The 20,153-nt window shown below is 34.1% G+C and overlaps 1 protein-coding gene across 21 annotated transcripts in view; it reads right to left on the bottom strand.

Moving 5' to 3' along the window:
* ZNF644 (zinc finger protein 644) overlaps window positions 14,298–20,153 on the bottom strand; it is a 106,732-nt gene continuing 100,876 nt past the window's right edge. For all 21 annotated transcript variants that reach the window (NM_032186.5, NM_201269.3, XM_011542258.4 and 18 more), the window contains 2 exons: window positions 17,046–17,148; window positions 14,298–15,984 (listed from right to left, as the gene is read on the bottom strand). In NM_032186.5, the coding sequence (NP_115562.3) occupies window positions 15,792–15,984; window positions 17,046–17,148 (296 nt within the window). In that variant the 3' untranslated portion in view covers window positions 14,298–15,791. The remainder of the gene's footprint in view (window positions 15,985–17,045; window positions 17,149–20,153) is intronic.

Consider the following 20,153-nt stretch of genomic DNA (forward strand, 5'->3'; position numbering starts at 1 on the left):
ATATGTTGTACTCTTTCCCTACAATCACCAGAAACAGGCTGAATTAATATAACGTTTGCAGAAAGGCTAGCAAGGAACCTAAAACATAAGATGAGCAAACAAGCACGAATCACCAAATATGTGAGGAAAACCTAACCCCAAGAAAACATTCAATAGAGTAAAGAGACTTAAAAATATATATAATTCCTGAGGGCCAAGAGGAAATCATATCCACAAAACAAAATGGATCCTTAAGAAGAACAATTAAAGATCTTAGATATAGAAAGTGTTGAGTGCCAATAAACAAACAAACCAAAATATCAAACCCCAAAACAACTCATCAGATAGCTGATGAGCAGAATGCACAGAGCTTTAAAGTCAACCTGTGATGGAAGACTGAGCTAAGGAATTCTCCCACAGGACAGTGCAATAAAAAACTAAGAGAGACATGGAGGATAGATTTATAAGTCCTAATATACACCCAGAAAGAAGTGCCACCAAGGACAGAACAGAAATAATTAAGGGAAACAAGAAATGATAAAAATAAGTATCCCAGAACTGAAAACAGACATTGGTCCTCAAATTGAGAATGCCTACAAAGTATTGATCAGGATGAAGGAAAAATGACACATCTTGGTGAACTTTCAGAACATTAAGGATAAAAAGATAATCTTACAACTTTCATGGGGGAGGGTAGGAGATTGACAAAGAAATTAGACCAGATTGGCACCAGACTAACCACAATACTAGATATAAGACAATGGAACAATCTTCAGAGGCCCAGGGGAAAATCTATTCTACCCCTAGACAAACTGGAAGTACATTTTCAGATGTACAAAGATTCAGAGAGCATACCACCCATAAGGTTACAGCCCTTTGTGAAAAAAAGCTCCTTGAGGTTGTATTCTAACTAATCTAAGAGTAAAACATGTATAAAAAACCATGGAAGGTGAACTTAAGAATTAAATTACAAAATACTGATTAAAAAATAATACGGAAGTACAACAGGTAAACCCACCGAGACAAAATAGACTGGTGGTTGCCAGTGGTTGGGGGTAAGGGAAGATGGGGAGCAAGTGCTTCCTATGTACAGGGTTTCTTCTTGGGGTAATGAAAACATTTTGGAACTAGGTAGAGGTGGCTGTTGGACAACAGTGTGAATGCACTAAATGTCACTAAATTTTTTACTTTAAAATGGTTAATTCTGTTATATCAAGTTTACCACAATCTGCAAAAATGTTCCATAAAAATAGTAACTAGTTCAGCTTGGAACTCAAACTGCATATAATTTTCTTTGAGGCAACCACTACACTTCAGTATGCAGCAGAAATGCTTTATGCATTTTTCCCATTTCTTCACACAGAATATTAAGTAATAAAGGGTCAAGACTTAAAATTAATAAATTAAAAAAATATGGAAGCCAAATTTCAAGTGATCAAAAGGAAAAAAAAAGTTGCTGAACATGAGGGAAGTAAAGCATACTAAAGTTCTTGTGTTGCTGGAGAAAAAAGATAAAATGCATGGGTGATTTCAATACAGGTTCCCTTTCCTCTACTCTTCTCCTAAGCCAGATGGTGACTGGGACTTGTAGTAGCTGGTGTAGATGTGTATGAGGCTTGGCACTCTGCTGGGGTCCTATTAGAGAAAAGAGAACCAATATGCAACTTTCTTCTTCAAGTGTTGGAAGCTCAGTGTGGAGGACCAGAAGATGCACCTTGGGAGAGACTGAATATCAGGAATATGTAGGCTCCAGGGAAGAAGGTCAATTCTGGCCCACAAGTAAGTGTACTATGTATTTTTGAAAGAGTAAGTGGACTGAGTCCCCCTTATCTTGAGACCCAGAGATTATCTCCCAGAGAGCTCAGGGTGATAAGGGACCAGACACATCCTTCAGGTACTTCAGCAGGAACTGCCACTTCACTATCTACTGCTTGGTGGATTACTAACATGTAGGACACCACAACAAACAGGCCAGAATTCAATGAGCTGAAAAACAAAAATAACCCATTTAAGGAGGCCCAGCAATAAGAGGAAAATGAGCAGAGTAATCAGAATACACCTTTAGTAAAACAGAAATACTAGAGAAGATGAAAACATGAATAAAAATAAGAGCATTTAAGGTGATTCACGTGCAGCACATACACATACACGCACAACTTCCAAAAGTTTAGTAACATTATTTTTTAAATAGATTTTTAAATGAGGGCTATGCATGGTGGTTTGATCCCAGTTACTTGGGAGGCAGAGGTGGGAGGATCACTTGGGCCCAGGAGTTCAAGGCTGCAGTGAGCTATGATCCTGCCACTGCACTCCAGCCTGGGTGACAGAGCGATACCCTGTCTCTTAAAAAAAAAAAACAAAAAAAATTTGAATGATAGTTTTAAAAGGAGGATGGTCACTAAGCACAAGAAATATCTCAAAGTACAAAGCAAACATATGTAAATGGAAACTGTGAGGGAAAAGATTTAAAGAATGGATCAAAGAAATCTAACATACAATGGGAGTTCTAGAAGGAGACAAAGGAATAAATGAAAAAAATAAAATTATTCAGCAGGTAATAGTAGAAAATTTTACCTGAGTTAGAGAAAGACTGAAATCTACTCAGTAAGTCCCAAGCTGTACATTTAGACATGGTTGGTAAAGTTCCTGAACTCTAAACAGAAGATCTTATAAACATCCAGGCAGAAAGAACAAGTTACTTATAAGGAAAGAGGTTACACTGGCAATGAAAGAGCCAGTCTATCCACCCTGAGACAAACAGCATCTATCCACCCTGAGAGAATGGACTGCCTCCAGTGATCCTTTACCTGGCCAATTAATTATTCATCTTTCAGGGCAAAAGAAAAGTAACTAGAAAAGAGGCCTCAAGATGGAATTAGAGAATAGGAAACACTGGTTACTCATGTAAATTTAAATTTAATTGGGGAGGGATAGATTTCTTAGGATTATGACAATAAGGACGCAAAATTTAGAAGAGAAGGGTAGCAAAATCATTCTGAAGTTCTCACTGTGACAGCAGTGAAGGAGGTAAGTATATTCTCAAGAAGGACAGGGAACTGTTCTGCCATTATTAGAATATAGTATTAACTCTGCAATCAAATAAATATGGTATTGATTAAGAAAAAGACAAAAAGAATAGTTGAACAGAATAGAGATTCCAGATGCAGATCCTAGGTTACACAAGAATTTGATATGTGACAAAGTTGTTTAATTCTGTTAGACAAAGAAAAACTGTTCAGTAAGTGGTGTTGATATCCATTTTTGGTATAAGAAATGGACTCCTATATAATACTGTAAAAGCCAAAGTAAATTCCAGATGGGTTAAAACAATTTTTTAAAAAATATCTAGAAAACTACATGTATTATCTAAGAAAAGAGGTATTTCTCTCTGTCCTATATTATTCTATACAAATATATGCATAAAAATTAACCAAAAACTCCTCAATCAATCCAATAAAAGTTGGAAAAGGAATCCTTAAGAAAGCACAATACATAGAAACCATAATATGTTAAGAGTAAGTGTAAACATATGCACAAAAATATGAATCGTTGTATTTACCTACTCATCTTAACTTGGGTGAAATAATAAGAAAATCTAGCTCTACGTCCAAAATAAACTGACATTAGGAAAGAAGGAAAAAAGATATCCCTCCTTTTTTTTTTGTATTTGAAAAACTGAACAATCTACCAAGTAGATATAATAGCAACGAACCTCTATATACTTAAAAACAAGGTTAAAAAATAAACTGAGGTTTAGCAGAAACAGATACAAAACAATCACACTGAGATCCTAAACTATCTTTCATAGAATCTGACAAATTATATAGAAAATAGATGAGTAGGCCGGACACAGTGGCTCGTGCCTGTAATCCTAGCACTTTGGGAGGCCGAGGCGGGTGGATCACCTGAGGTCAGGAGTTCAAGACCAGCTTTGCCAACATGGCTAAACTCCACCTCTACTAAAAAATACAAAAATTAGCCACGCACGGTGGCAGGCACCTGTAATCCCAGGTACTTGGGAGGCTGAGGCAGGAGAATCGCTTGAACCCAGGAGGCGGAGATTGCAGTGAGCCGAGATTGTGCCACTGCACTCCAGCCTGGGCAACAGAGCGAGACTCTGTCTCAAAAAAAAAAAAAAAAGAAAGAAAGAAAATATATGATTAAAATATAGATAATTAAAACAGCATCATTTAAATCCAGACTATATATATGATATAAATTATATTTTAAAATATATGTAAATAAACGATATATCACGAATATATAAAATTCTATACCAAAAAAAGATTATACATTATTTTCAAACACATTAAACACTACCAACAAGTAATTACAGATCTTAGACCACAGAAAAAATTTCAACAAATTCCCAAAAGTTCTGTAGAAATTGGTTAAAAAGTAAATCAAAGTTGAAATATAATGTAAAAAGTAAATAACAATAGCTCTAGTATATCTACACCTGTGGGATATCAAATTGACATGGACAGAAAAACATGTAGCCTTACATGTAATTACTAGAAAACCAGAAAGGTGGGAAATAAAATTTAGGTTGGAAGGTAGAAGAGTTAATAAATAAAATACCAAGAGTAAGTTCTTGTAAAGACTGAAAAACAAACACCCCAGAAAAAACCTTCAGTAAGTTTAATTAAGGAAAAAGAGAATAAAACATCAGTAAATGAGGAAATGACAGAGATTAAATAACTTTTAAGAGGATATTATCTAGAAGTTACTCCAAAATTTTGGAAAATCTAGGATAGATAGATACTCTTCTAGGAACGTATAACCAAAATTGGCTCAAAAAGAAGAAAAAAACCCTAACAATCTATGATTATAGAAGAAACAGTAAACTTCTCCAAAATATTGATCTCTCAAAAGGTAACAGGCTCAGATGAGTTTATGGATGAGTACCATCAAATCTTTAAGAAAGCAATATTGTCCATGATATGAAAACCCTGTCAAAGCATAGACAAATTTAAATTTCCTAACTCATTTTCTTAGGCTAGCCCAACTTAGATTCCAGACAAGTAAGGCAGAAGAAAGGTACAGGCCAATATTACTAATAAACATATATGAAAAAAATTCCTCAATGAAATATGGATTGAGTATCCCTTATCTGAAATGCTTAAGAACAGAAGTGTTTCAGATTTTGGATTTCTTTAGGTTTTGAAATATTTACATATATTAGATTTATGCAAATATTCTATATTAGATATGCAAATATTTCAAAACCCAAAGAAATTATTAGGTTATATACATAATCCTTATATTATTTACATAACATATTGGGGATGTGATCCAAGTATAAACACAACATTCATTTGTTTCATATACACCTTATACACAGTCTGAAGGTAATTTTATACAGTATTCTAAATAATTTTGTGCATGAAACAAAGTTTTGACTGTTTTAACTGTGACTTGTCACATGAGGTCAGGTGTGGAATTTTCCATTTGTGGCATCATGTCAACACTCAAGGGAGTGACTCAAGGATTTTGGAGCATTTTGGATTTTCAGATTAGGGATACTCAACCTGCAGAAACAAATCAATTGTACAGTATTAACCAACACATCATGATTATAAAAAGGCATTTAAGGATGACTTAATGTTTAAAAGCCTATTAATATATTTTATTAGTATCAACCGATTAAAGAAGAAAAAAATCACATGGCAATCTCAACAAAAGTTAATACTTATTAAAATCGATGTTTCCTTTGTTATTTGAAACAAAAACATGCAAAAACCCTTATCCAACAAGAAATAAACTCTTTTCAACTCAAACTGTTTACAAGAAACTTTCAGCAAAATTACATTCAATAATGACAGCAGTATCCTTGTTATAATCTGAAGCAAGAGAGAAATACCTGCTAATATATTGCTAATACTGTACTGGGGATCCTTCATAATATAAGAACACAAGAAAAAGAATAGGAATAAAATTGGAAAGCAAGAGATGATTTTTTGAGATGATTGGCTACTTAGAAATTTCAAGATAACTTACAGAAAAAATATTAGAATATGAGTTCAGCATGATAGGATTGAATGGATTCCTTTGTATCAATATTGAATTAGAAAATTCTGGTATAAAAACCCCTCTTTCACTAGCAACAAAAACAAAAACTAAGATACATAAAAATACATTTTAAAAGAAATGTGCAGTTCTCTATAAAGAAAACTATAGGACTTTCCCATAGGACATAAAATACAAAGATAAATGGAAAAACATATCATGTTCCTAAGAGGGAAGACTTATATTTTCCCGTTTTCCACAAATTACAGTGTAGTTCTAAGCCAAATCTCAGGATGTTCCCAAATTTGACAAACTAATTCTAAAATATACGTGGAAGAAAAAAACGCAATGCTTTAAAATAGCTAATTCACAGGCTGGGCGCAGTGGCTCATGTCTGTCTTCTGAGCACTTTGGGAGACCAAGGTGGGTGGATCACTTGAGATCAGGAGTTTGAGACCAACCTGGCCGATATGGTGAAACCCCATCTCTACTAAAAATACAAAAATTAGCTGGGTATGGTGGCAGGTGCCTGTAATCCCAGCTACTCGGGAGGCTGAGTCACAAGAATCGCTTGAACCCAGGAGGCGGAGGTTGCAGTGAGCTGAGATCATGCCACTGCACTCCAGCCTAGGCGATAGAGCAAGATTCAGACTCAAAAAAACAAAAAACAACAAAAACAAACAAAACTCAATCATTCGGTAACTACTGGATGCATGCTATATACCAGTACTCTTCTAGAATAGAAGTGAACAAAACATACAACATGCCCAATCTCAGAAAATTTATAATGATTTATTAAAATGTTGGATTAATAAAAACAAAAACTTCATATAGGCATCAAAGAACTAATATGACAGTGAAGGATTACTGAGCCAAAAATCCGAAAGATACTTCTCCGCAGAGTTCACAGAAAAAAAAAAAATCTTAAGACAAGAAACTCAGTGAGGCCATCCAGCAGGGATACATTTTAGTTTTGCCCAGGGGGAAATGTCCGATCTGAATAAATAGCTATAAAACTAAATTGCACTTTCAATGGCCTCATGGGGCTAGAAGAACAAAACTATACCCACAGGGCAAAAGGTGAACCAGTTGTAAAACCAGCCTTCCCATGAGATAGCTCTTATAGCCTGACTTTGGGTCATCTTAGTAGGCCAGGTAAATGCAAGACATGAACTTGGATTAGGGTGTTCTGAACTAGTAGCACCCCTAGACACCTGGCAGAAGTAAATGAAAATCCTATGGGAGAAGATACTGTCCTAGGCCTGAAAATAGTTCTATAATACATTTCAAATACAATGTCCACCACATAGTCAAACATATGGGCATATAAGAAAACAAGACGCCATGAACAAGCAGAAAAAATCAACTACTAACAGAATCTGACCCACATTTTGGAGTCCCAGAACTATCAAACACAGAATGTAAAAATAACTATTTGCACCATATTCAAAGAAATAAAAGCCAACCTAGGGTACTAAAAACAATAAAAAGTATATCTGAAAAAGAGCCAATGGAAATTCTAGATCTGAATAATAGTATAACTGAAGTAACAGTCGCTGAGAAAATCAGGGGAAGAAACTAGAATGCAGCACAGAGAGACAAAGAGAAAGAAAACAGAGAAGACAAAAAATCTAGAAAGCACAGTGAGAAGGATTTAACTTATATTTAGAGTCCCAAAAGAACCAGAGAGAGAAAATGGGGCAGAAAAAACAGTTGAGAGATAAATAACAGCCAGGAAATTTCCAGAATCCCAGCAGAGATCTCAAACTTGACAACAACAAAAAAATTCCCACAGACATATTAGAGGAAAACTTTAAAAACTCGAGATTAATATAAATGTCTAAAAATCAGCCAGAAAATAGAGAACAGATTATTTTAAGATGAGCAACAACTGAACTTCCAAGAACAAGGCAGAAAATGATGGAATAGCCTCAATCTGTGAGGAAAAAATAACTATCAATATAGAATTCCATACCCAGTAAAAATATCATTCTAGAATTAAGTGAATATCCATACTAACTAAAACATCAAATAAACCCTAAACAGTGAAAAAAAAAATTAACCAAATAAAGGCATCACCAGACATACAAAAGCCAAGAACATGTGCCATAAAATGACTAAAAAATTTAAAAGGATTTATTGGAAGTCACCATAAAGCAAGTGAAAAGTACAGTCACAAAGTAGAGGATATCTGCAACACATACAACCTAAGGATTAATGGAATTGCTAAGAGTCAATATGGAAAAAGACAGACACCCCAATAGAAAAAAATGGGCGATCAGTAAAAACATTTTTCAAAAGAGAAACATAGGTGGCCAATAAACCTAAGAAAGAATAATCAGCCTTATAGTAATCAGGGAAATGTAAATTAAGTTCACAATGAAATATCATTTATATGCACCAATGAGTAAAAATTTAAAAGTCTGACTGTGTTAGTGAGAATACAGAGGAATAAGAACTCTGACACAGTCCTTCTGGGAGTAAAAACATGCACAATCATTTTTTAGAAAAGTTTGGCTTTATCTAAGAAGCATAAACTATATAGTCTATGACTAAAAAATCCCACTCCTTGGCATGTACCTTAAGAGAAACCCACAGATGTTCATCATGAGACATAATAAAAGTGTTCATAGCTCCACAGCTTTTAAAAGCCATAAGCTGAAAACAACTCAAATGTCTATCAAGAACAAAAATGGATAATTAAATGTGTCATATCTATAATAATAATATACAACAGTGAAGCCGGGTGTGGTGGCTCACTCCTGTAATGCCAGCACTTTGGGAGGCTGAGGCGGGTGGATCATTTGAGGTCAGGAGTTCGAGACCAGCCTGGCCAACATGGTGAAACCCCATCTCTACTGAAAATACAAAAAAATTAGCCGGGCATGGTGGTGGGCGCTTGTAATCCCAGCTACTCAGGAGGCTGAGGCAGGAGAATTGCTTGAACCCGGGAGGCGAGGGTTGCAGTAAGCCAAGATTGCGCCACTGCACTCAAGCCTGGGCAACAGAGAAGACTCCGCCTCAAAAAAAAAAAAAAAAAATACAACAATGAAAATGAATAAACTATAGTTACTAACAAAAACAGAGATGAACTTCAAAGACGGTATTAAGCAAAAGCAACAGGTCACAAAAGAGGACACGCAGTGTAATTCCATTTCTATGAGGACAAAGCAGACTGCATGCTTTCTAAGAGGTCAAACTATTAAGAATGGTAAACAAATGATTATTAGAAAAGTCAGAATAATGGTAAACAGAAGAAAGAGAATTTAATTGGGGATGCTGGCAATGTTCTACATCTTGTCTTTAGGGTAATTAAGGTTATTTCTTTAAATATCAGAGTAACATATTTACGTACTTTATCTCACAATAAAGCCAATTTGGTAAGTGGCAATTTGTTCATACTTTAAACATTTTGAGTATTTATAATATTTAAGAATTATCTGGTCTATTAGCCTAACAGTTCAGCCTCCTAAATCCAATCTAAAAATGTGTAAATGAGTAATCAACATGGACTTGTACTAATCATTTTAAAGTAGAAATCTTATTAAGTTATCTGAGGCATTGAAATAGCCAAGATAATTCAAGGTTCTACATATTAAGACTAATTTGTTCTATTTATAAAAGATACTTATGTACTTGAAAAGGTTTTAAATCAGGGAACAGAGGTTCTTGAAATAGAAACTGAATATACTGAATTTAGAAATGCACTTTTAAATGTTTTTAAAATTCTACTAAGGTTGTAAATGTGACTACACATTATCTAAAAGCTCCTTACTTCAAAGTATTTGCTGAAATTTGCTAAACTCATCAATAGAAAAAAACAAACAAAAAACCACGAGTTTGACCTTAGAAACTTAAGAAAGAACTAAATCTCTGGATTTATATCCTTAAGAAATCATCTTTTTAGAGCAAACTTCTAAATAATATTTGTCTACCAACTTGTTCAGAAGACACAAAACAATTCACATTTAATGCTATTTTTCACATTATATAAAAGCAAACGAAAAAACCTATGCCAGAAGTTTTTTTTTAATTCCCAAACACCAATTTATATGCCGGAAGATTTTGAGGGTTAATTTTAATTAAAATTTGTCTAGGATTATACTCAAAAACACAAAACACTTGACAGTTGATATGGTGACATATGCTACTTTCAAAGAAGTTACTGTTTACTTTTTTGGGGGTAGGTGGGGGTCACAGAGCAATTAAGTGCTATGGAGCTCCCAGAAAAATGTATAGACACACCACATAATACAATAGTCAAAGATCTCTTGAAAAAGACTACAGGTTAAGGACACTTAAAACTCTCCATTATCCTGGTGGCCAATTATGAAATCAGAGCTTAAGTTATTTTAGACATATTATCCAGCAAAATATAATTGTATGTATTATGTTATTATATATAATTATATTCATTTTAAATCAGAAAGGTAATGTCTTTAAGAACAAAAGTTCACATATTTTGTTTTCATTTACCAGTTAAAAATGAACACAATACCACTTTTTACATACTAAATAAGCAAAGTTTTGTTTCGTTTAGAATATACTGGCAAGGATGAGAGGAACTGAAACCAGTCTCCATACATTGAAGTTAGGAGAATATAGTTATATAACCTTTCTGAATAGTAATTTGGAAATGTATACATAAAGCCTCAACTGAGGAATATTCAACTCTTGATTAACTCTACTACTAGAAATTTATTCTAAGGAAATAATTTTGGATGTGTACAATTTACTGCAAGAATAATCATCAAAAACATTTTTTTTTGAGACTGAGTCTCACTCCGTTGCCCAGACTAGAGTGCAATGGCACAATCTCAGCTCACTGCAATCTCCACCTTCTGGGTTCAAGTGATTCTCCTGCCTCAGCCTCCCAAGTAGCTGGGATTACAGGCGCCTGCCACCATGCCCAGTTAATTTTTGTATTTTTAGTAGAGAAGGAGTTTCACCATGTTGATCAGGCTGGTCTTGAACTCCTGACCTCAGGTGATCTGCCCACCTCAGCCTCCCAAAGTGCTGGGATTACAGGCATGAGCCACTGTGCTGGGCCGACAAAAGTATTCTTTATGATGCCCAATCCTGGAGACAATATAACATGAGTAATAATGGAGGAGTAAATAATGTATAGGATAATGGAAAATTGTAAAAAATTTAAGTATATTTAAGATGAATATTTAGTGGCATGAAAATGCTCATGGATCTACTGCTAATAGAATAAAGGGTCAATTTCTACATAGCAAATTCTTTTTTTTTTTTTTTTAAAGGAAAAATTCTACAAACAGAAAAAAAAGACTAGGGGGCATATGATGAATTTTTAATGTAGGGAATTATAAGTATTTTTTTCTTTTTCTTATCTAAAATTTTAACAAGAAATAAATCAATAATTTATTAGATTATATGCACTCTTTGTTCACCTTGACTTCTGGTCTAATCTAAGAACCATGCAGTATGAAGAATCAATTCTGTAAATTTTATTTATTATTACAGTTGTCGTTTGCCTAAACTATTACAGGTATTATTCAATAATTTGTGATAAGAAAAACCAAGGTTGTAGTAAAGGTATGGCTACTGATGAAAGATCTATAATTGAATGTGGCTGGCCCTCAAAATAAGAAAACAAGTTCCCATTGTTGAAATAAATATGATAGCTATCTTCTGCAGTGGGGATGAAAAGTGATTCTAGTCTGTCATTTGAAATATCACAGATGGGGACTGGCTTCTGTCACATTCAAGGGTTAACATATATTTATGTGGTATTCAAAGGTTAATCTATACAATACAGCACCTGAATTTAAAATTAATGGTAAAACAAGATACGTTATAATACATTCTGATCATAATTATATTGAAATAGTAAGATAGATAAAAGAAATAAATATATCAAGCTATTTAAAAGTAGGTATCTTTGAGTGATACTATCACAGGTGATTTCCCCAATTTTTATTTTTTTGTTTTTCTAATATTTTTTAAATGGGCATAGATTACATTTTTTTTTTTAAGAGACTGGGCCTCACTCTGTTGCCCCAGTATGGAGGGCAGTGGCATGGTCATAGCTCACTGTGTTCACCTTGAACTCCTGGGCTCAAGCAATCCTCCCACCTCAGCCTCCTGAGTAGCTGGGACTACTGGTGCACACCACCATGCCTTTTTTTTTAATTCTTTCAGAGATGGGGTCTTACTATGTTGCTCAGGCTGATTTTGAACTCCTGGGCTCAAGTGATCCTTCTACCTCAGCCTGCAAAAGTGCTGGGATTACAGGCGTGAGCTACTGTGCCTGGTCTATTACATTTTCTTAGTGAGGAAAAACCCAGAGTGATCCTTTGGACTTTGTATTCTAATTGGACAGTCCTTGAGAAGTTATGTATATGTCCTTTAAAAAAGTTTGTCTAGTAAATTACTGAGAAATCATTATCTCCCCAACCCATAATTAAATAAGTAAAATCTAAAATACAGATATGAGTTATGCCACAGTTCTAATATACTCTAAAGAAGTATAGTGGAAAATAATACATAGAAGTTAACCTTTTTGTCTTGAAGCCATTAAATAAATCAACACTGCAGCCTGGAATTTTTTTTTTTTTTTGAGACGGAGTCTTGCTCTGTCACCCAGGCTGTAGTGCAGTGGCACCATCTTGGCTCACTGCAAGCTCCACCTCCCAGGTTCATGCCATTCTCCTGCCTCAGCCTCCCCAGCAGCTGGGACTAGAGGCGCACGCAGCAACGCCTGCTAATTTTTTTGTATTTTTAGTAGAGACGGGGTTTCACTGTGTTAGCCAGGATGGTCTCGATCTCCCGACTTCGCGATCCGCCCGCCTCGGCCTCCCAAAGTGCTGGGATTACAGGCGTGAGCCACTGCGCCTGGCCCAGACTGGAATTTTTTAAAGCCCTAATTTAGCATTAGAAGCTTGCATATCTCAGGCAATGGTAAAAGAATTAAAAGAAAATTAGTCAATACTGAATGATAAATCAGGCCATATGCTGACATAAAAATCTATCATGTAAATTGAGACAATATTTTATACTTTTCTTCTAGTGGGAACCAAATGAAAACATATTATTAATTTTCTAGTTGCCAAATAAAAGACGAATTTTGAATGCTTCCTAAAGAATTCTTTAAATTTTGTAACCCAAATATCTTTACTATGAAAAATGCTCTTTGCTTAATTTACTTTTCAGGAGTCACTCTAGTCTACTGTTTCTGATGTGAAATATTTTATTCTGATGACTGAATTCTTTATATAACTAGAAGGAGAAATAATTGTTTACATATAGTTCAACATATTTTAAAATTAAATGTAGTTTTGATTCCGAAACTTGTGGTCAAACTAATTCTTCTACTTGTATTCACACATGTTGATATTTGGCCTGATAAGACAAAATCATAGAAGTGTAAGAATTAGGAGGCCAGGTGTGGTGGCTCATGCCTGTAATCTCAACACTTTGAGAGGCGGAGGCGGAAGGATCTCTTGAGCCCAGGAGTTCAAGCACAGCCTGGGCAACATGGTAAAACTCTGTCTCTACGAAAAATACAAAAACTAGCCAAGAGTGATGACATGTGCTTTTAATTCCAGCTACTTGGGAGGCTGAAGTGGGAGGATCACTTGAGTCCTGAGAGGTTGAGTCTGCAGTGAGATATGATCACACCATTGCACTCCAGCCTGGGTGACAGAGTAAAACTCTGTCTTTAAAGAAAAAAAAAAAGAATTAGAGTGGAAAGGGGCTCTAGTGATTACTAGCCTTCCCACAAGATTCCTATGATTTTTGTTTGTTTGTTTGGTTTTTACTTCTGGACTCCACTTGCTATGTAGTATGTCTTCCAATTTAAAAATATATATTCAAAGACATATAACTATCAACGAAACTTGTTCAGTAAGAGATAACCAATATATACAGACTTGGTATATTTTCAGTCAAAAGTAAAGAAATGGGATGTTTTAGTTAGTTTTGTCACTATAGACAAATACATAGTTTTTATCGGGACTTTTGTAAAATTGAAAATAACTTACAAGTACTATTCCCTTATCTATTAACCTAAGGATCAGGAGACCCTTGGTTGGGAATGATCCAACTAGTCCAACCTTCTAATTTTGCATATAAGATGGCTCTGAATTTAGAGGTTTGATTAATCATGAAAGGGGGAAAATGATTTTTCTCACATACATTATATTGACCAATGAGGTGATTCTAGAAAAACTATGCTCTGTGATCCAAGTAACCTGGCAAGGATAAACAATTTAAATCCAATGAAACACAACCTGAAGTGAACTATTACCACCAATGATAAAAATAAGAAATGTTTCACATTTTAATTTTCTTTAAACCTTTTTTTATTTAGAGATTTTTCTGGTAAGGAGATATACCATAGGAAAGCAATTTCACTGGCAGTGAGGTATGTATATACTCTACCAAAATACTCCTTATTTTAACTGTTTTTAACTTTATTTACATACGAAGCAAAGAATCAATGCATATCCTTGGTTCAACTATAGTATTAGCCATACTACATGAAATAAAATGGTGCTTGCATACAAAAACTTGTTGTTTGTAAAGGAATCTGATTTCAGATTAAAATACCTAATTGTTTTTGGAAAAAATTTTTAAAAAGAATCACAATTTATCATGACCAAGACACCTGCACCATATTTTCCATTCCTCACAGCACATTTATTTCAGTAATTCTGTTATGTCGGTTCTTAGCATGAGCATAGTGTTACACGATTTTCGTACATATAATCACATCCAAAACAAGTTCTAAAATTTAAATTGTAAACATTCTCATATGTAGAAATATTTTAATTGGTGTATTAAGTTTTGCTAACTGATCAAATTTGGAAGATAATATAAATGAGAACGTCTATTCTAAACTGTGTAGTGAGCATTGTTTATTAATTACATTTCTACAATGTTAAATAAAGTAAGAGGCAAACCTGTCCTGTAAGCATGTCAAATTTTAGGTAAAACATTAAAAAGAAACAAACCTGTTAACAAAAGAATGTCTTGCAATAAAGAACATTAGATTTTTAAAATCTATTATGATACAAAAATGTAAAGGGTAAATAGCATCTTTGTTGACAAAGTAGGAGGTAGCATGGATGCACCACTTTATTGTCTGAGAAATGCAACTGGAGTAAAGAATATTTCCTTACCACAAATAATTTCCAGAACTATGTACATATTTCTTTTAGAAATACTTGTTTAAACAAATCTCCCTCCACTTTTTAGTATAAAAAAAACCGTTCCATGTGATTTTAAAAAAAACACTTACACATCTAGATAGAATAGTACTCTGCCCTATTTGAGTGAACAGTCTCAAACTATGAAGTACATGATATTTAATGCCCTAATTTGAGTAAATTTAGTCAGCGGTTCTTGGTATTATACAAAACACTAAATACATACAAACAAAATATAATATCTTATTTTTCTATGCAAGTCTTGTGGGGAATAAACAGAGCCTTGATTCTGGTAACACTGCAAAAAACATAATTGTCCAATAAGTCTGTCTATAAGTATCCATGTGCAACAGTTTATTAATGGCTGCTTACATGTACTGCTCTTTTACTGAGTGAACACAGTTAACCAACAAAACTTCATAAACCTTAAAAACACATCTTCCACCCTATATAAAATATATAGACTACTTACTGTTTTAAGTATTCAATTTGCTCTGATGTCACTGTAATTCACTTTCCCCCCATTTTCCTGCTTTAGTATTTATAAACAGATAATTTAATGTGGCTTAAAAAAAAAGAATTTCAAATTTACATCCAATTCAAACTGGCTATTTAAAAGGTTTCCTGGTTCTATGAAGCTGCTTCGGCCATTAGTAGAGAAAATGAAGTTTCTGTAATGGAGGCAGGCTTTTTAAGTAGTGACGTGACTTCCACCATGCCAGCTCCAGTCCGTGGAAGATTAGCGTTTACAATATGTCGTTGTAAGTGCTTAATCCAGTCTTCCTGAACAGACAAGGGTCCTCGAAAGACTAGGCCACAAAACCTACAGAAAGATAACAATTCTCTTAACATGACCAATTCTCTTTCTTTAAAACTAATTCACACAAAATCCTAAAACATAAGGAATAAACTTTATCATATTTTAAAGACAGCAATTGATAAAGTTTCTAAAGTCAAATGATTTAATAAAACATCAAAACTCCCAATTCATATGTTTATTAACAGCTATAATAAACTCCAGTAATCTTTGTATAGGTGGGAGCATTATTATTTTAAAATTAACATCTACACATCTTAATTCACTTGAAACAACAACTATTACTCCAAAATATGTCATTCTTTAGAAAAGACCCTTCCCCAGTTTAGCATTCCTTAAATGGCATTGTGTCTATGTTTCTTCATGTGTGTTGTGTGTGAGTGTGAGTACGGAAGAAGGCGTGACTATGAGGGGAGAGAAAATGTGTTCCCAATAAGCGAGAACTCAAGACAACAAAACATCAAACCAAACAAAATTAAACCATACAAACCAAATAAACACAAGGAAAGCCAGTTTTTTTTTCTTTTTTCTGAGACAGAGTCTTGCTCTGTCGCTCAGGCTGGAGTGCAGTGGCACGATCTCGGCCCACTGCAACCTCTGCCTCCTGGGCTCAAGCAATTCTCCTGCCTCAGCCTCCCAAGTAGCTGGGATTACAGGCACCCGCTACAAAGCCTGGCTAATTTTGGTATTTTTAGTAGACACGAGGTTTCATCATGTTGGCCAGGCTGCTCTTGAACTCCTGGCCTCAAGTGATCCACCCATCTTGGCCACCCAAAGTGCTGGAATTACAGGCATGAGCCACCACACCTGGCCAAGCTACTTTAATAAATCACAGTATAATAGATTTACATTACTATTGGCTAATGTAAAAAACTTGATTCATTAGTTGTTGAAGTACGGATATTGTGAGCTGAATTAAGATTTTAAGCCTATCTCCAAAAGTTCATTTATAACTTGATTGTTGAGAATGCACTCTGCCACAAATTAAAAATCCCAAATGAAATAGCTAATATGTTTCAAAGCAAAGTATGAAGAAACTGATCAGATTTGGCAATATAGGCATATACCTGCATCGGAGAATGTAAACCTCGTCAGCACCATGAGGTAATGTTAGCATTTTCTTCTTGCTTCCAGATCTTGACCTTGATTTCTTTTGCTTACAATCTAAGGCTAAAAAGGGGAAGAGAAAGACTTAACATTCCTTATATATTTCAAAATATACATACACACATATTTTTCTAGAGAGGTCAGACAGACCATCTAAATCAGTTAGAAAAAGTCCGCATTCATTTCCCTATTCCCTGAAGCATGCATTCAACTTGCTGATTCTGTAATAGCAGTAATATTATCTGTACTGTACAGCGGTATTATCTGTACTGAAGAATACTATCTGTATTCTTCCTATACTGCCTTTTCAAATAATGCTTTACCACACCAAACTAGAACTGAGAAAATGTAACTAAATAACTTGAAAGTACTAAATTGGTCAATTATTACAATAATGGTAATCTTTACTTTTATAATCATACATAATTTTAATATCTGGTTTAATCTTATTTCCAGAAAAGTAGAACCTTTTATTTGAGATCATTAAATTAAGTTTGCATTTGATTACTGCTCCATTAAGTAGGTCTTCTATACTTGGAAAACTTCGTAAGGGAATATGGATAATGTAATTAAAAGCTCAAGGAAAAATCAATTTTCATAGTGATTCACCATGAATTTTATAATAAATAGCTCTTAAAATTGTATGCTGGCCCTACATTTGAAAGGACAAAAAAAGCTCAACTTTCATTTTTGAACTTAATTTGTATTGCATATACAATAATCAATTATGCAATCATATAAGTTTTATTTTACTAGAAAATAAATATAAATCCATATTATCTCACGTAAGTTTACAATTGGATCTGATGTTTAATGCTAACTATTCTTTACATATTTTTCATTTTACATTTTCTCCAACTGCTTATTTTAAAATGTGATTTGAAAAGGTAAAAAAAAAAATTAAAATAGACCAAAATTTTATGTGAACTGTTCTTGAAATTTTTCCATTAATTGACTTTTCCTTTATTTATTCTAAAACAACCTGATTTTAAAAAGAAAAAAAGGTATTTTTTATAGGTAGCAATAGATAGCACATAACATTTTATAGGTCTTTGAATACAGCTACACCATTTCTTTGGACAAAGGGATGATAGCAATCCAGGGTGCTGCTGGTCAATTAGCAGGAAGAGAAGGTAAGAATTTATCTGTAGGGATCCAAGGGGGGAGGGATACAAATGTAACAGAAGAGTTACCCAAATGGCTTTTCTTCCATTATCCTGCCATGTGAAAAATTCCCTGGAAAAATTCTAAGTAAGAGAGAAGGAACTGGCTGTTCAATGACTCTGTGAAACGAATTGTTCAAAGTCCAGATTCCAAAAGAATAGATGCTACTATTACAAAACCAGTAAACATAGTTCCTTAGTCAAATGGCAATGATAACAGAAATGTCATATAGAAAATTCAAAACCACAAGAAACCTAAATCTCATTGAAGCCACTGGTTTCAGCTTCCTGTCACCTGCCTATTCAAAAGTAAAATCTAGGACACAGTCTTTTTCTGTTTATCCTTAGAAGAAGAGTCTAATAAGTAAAGAACTACTAGAAGTCAAGTTAGGTATTAAAGAATGGGTAATTCAAAGCTAAACAACCAAACTCTGGAATAGAAAAATCTTATAAGGATCTTATTAGTTATCTCAGTCAAGAGCCTCGCATGTAGTAGGAACTCAACAAATACTTCTGGAGTAAAAATAAAGCAAAACTCAGTAATTTAACCATTGATATTTAGACAGCCTATGAATGAAAATGTTTTACTCCTATTTAATACAGGTAATATTCCTGTACAACATTGTGCATCATTTGTTTAAATATGTTGCTGCAGTCACACATACTTCATTATCCTAGATATAAATCACTGACCAGCCAGCTTATGTACAGAAACTAGGTTATTCACAACAACTACAAGAGTGAAATACCTTATGCTTTGTACCCAGTAGGAAAAACCTTTTTCCTAATCGCTTTGGTGAGCAATCTGAATTTAAGTGGGTTATGAGTGATTCATACACTAGAAATAGAGTTCAGGGAACTCAAAGAGTAAGTGCTACTAGATGTCAGCTATTCTTTCCATCTGTAAAGATGGATCCTTGTCTGTGTTAGGCAGAATAGAGCAGGCATTTGGTGTATCATAAGATTACAGGTAGAATCTTACTTTGATGAGCTTGCTGGTTGTCAAAATTGCCACACTGTATTCAAACTCCTTTTAAAATGCAAATAAATTACTGTAGGATACAAATAGAATACATTATAACAACCCTTAAAAATTTGTTCACAGAATGTTAATGTTAGGGGTGTAAAGCAAATTGAGGAAGAAGGGCAGGAGGATGGTAGGGAAATATGCAAAAGAACATTTTATCAGTTACAAAAGCATTTAAATTTACATGTTGTTAATATTTTAAAAATGGAACTGGAAATGTTTATTCTAAAATACAGAAATATTTTTGGCTTTTTCTTTAATAGGGAAAAAAGAATTATTTTATGGCTTTTGATGCTTTATGGACTGTGGAAACTCTTAAGTTTAGGCTGTTTTATGAATGATCAGATCTAAACTTGAAATGAGAATGCCATCATTTTTGTAGCAATGAGTATTTGAAGGTATTATAACCTTGGAAAGCAGGACAACTCTGCCAGCTTATGACTGATCAATCATCTCTAGAACCCAGGGCTCCAAAGTTAAGGTTACAGAATCTCATGCACTGAGAATCCCTAGAAACTTATTCACAAAGTTAAAATATTAAAAATCTGGGAACTTTGGAAATTGAAATCTAAATGCCTCAGTGTTTTAATATCTTCATCAATTCTAGATTTATTATCTCCTGAAATGTTATATTTTTGAGCAGGTGAAACATGAACATATTTTACAATAGTTTTTCTAATGCCAATATCCAAACCCACTCCTGTGATACTGCCCATACCTTTGGGAAAATCTGTTTAAAATTGAGTATTTAACATATTAAAACTGCACAAAAAGGGGACATCTATATAGGATCCTCTACATAAAAGGATGATTTACACAGAAAATTTCAATAAATGAAAAGGATGAGGTAGAAACATGTCTGTTATACCAATATTCTC

The sequence above is a fragment of the Homo sapiens genome, chromosome 1, assembly GCF_000001405.40.
Source record: "Homo sapiens chromosome 1, GRCh38.p14 Primary Assembly".
Classification (NCBI taxonomy): Eukaryota; Metazoa; Chordata; class Mammalia; order Primates; family Hominidae; genus Homo; species Homo sapiens.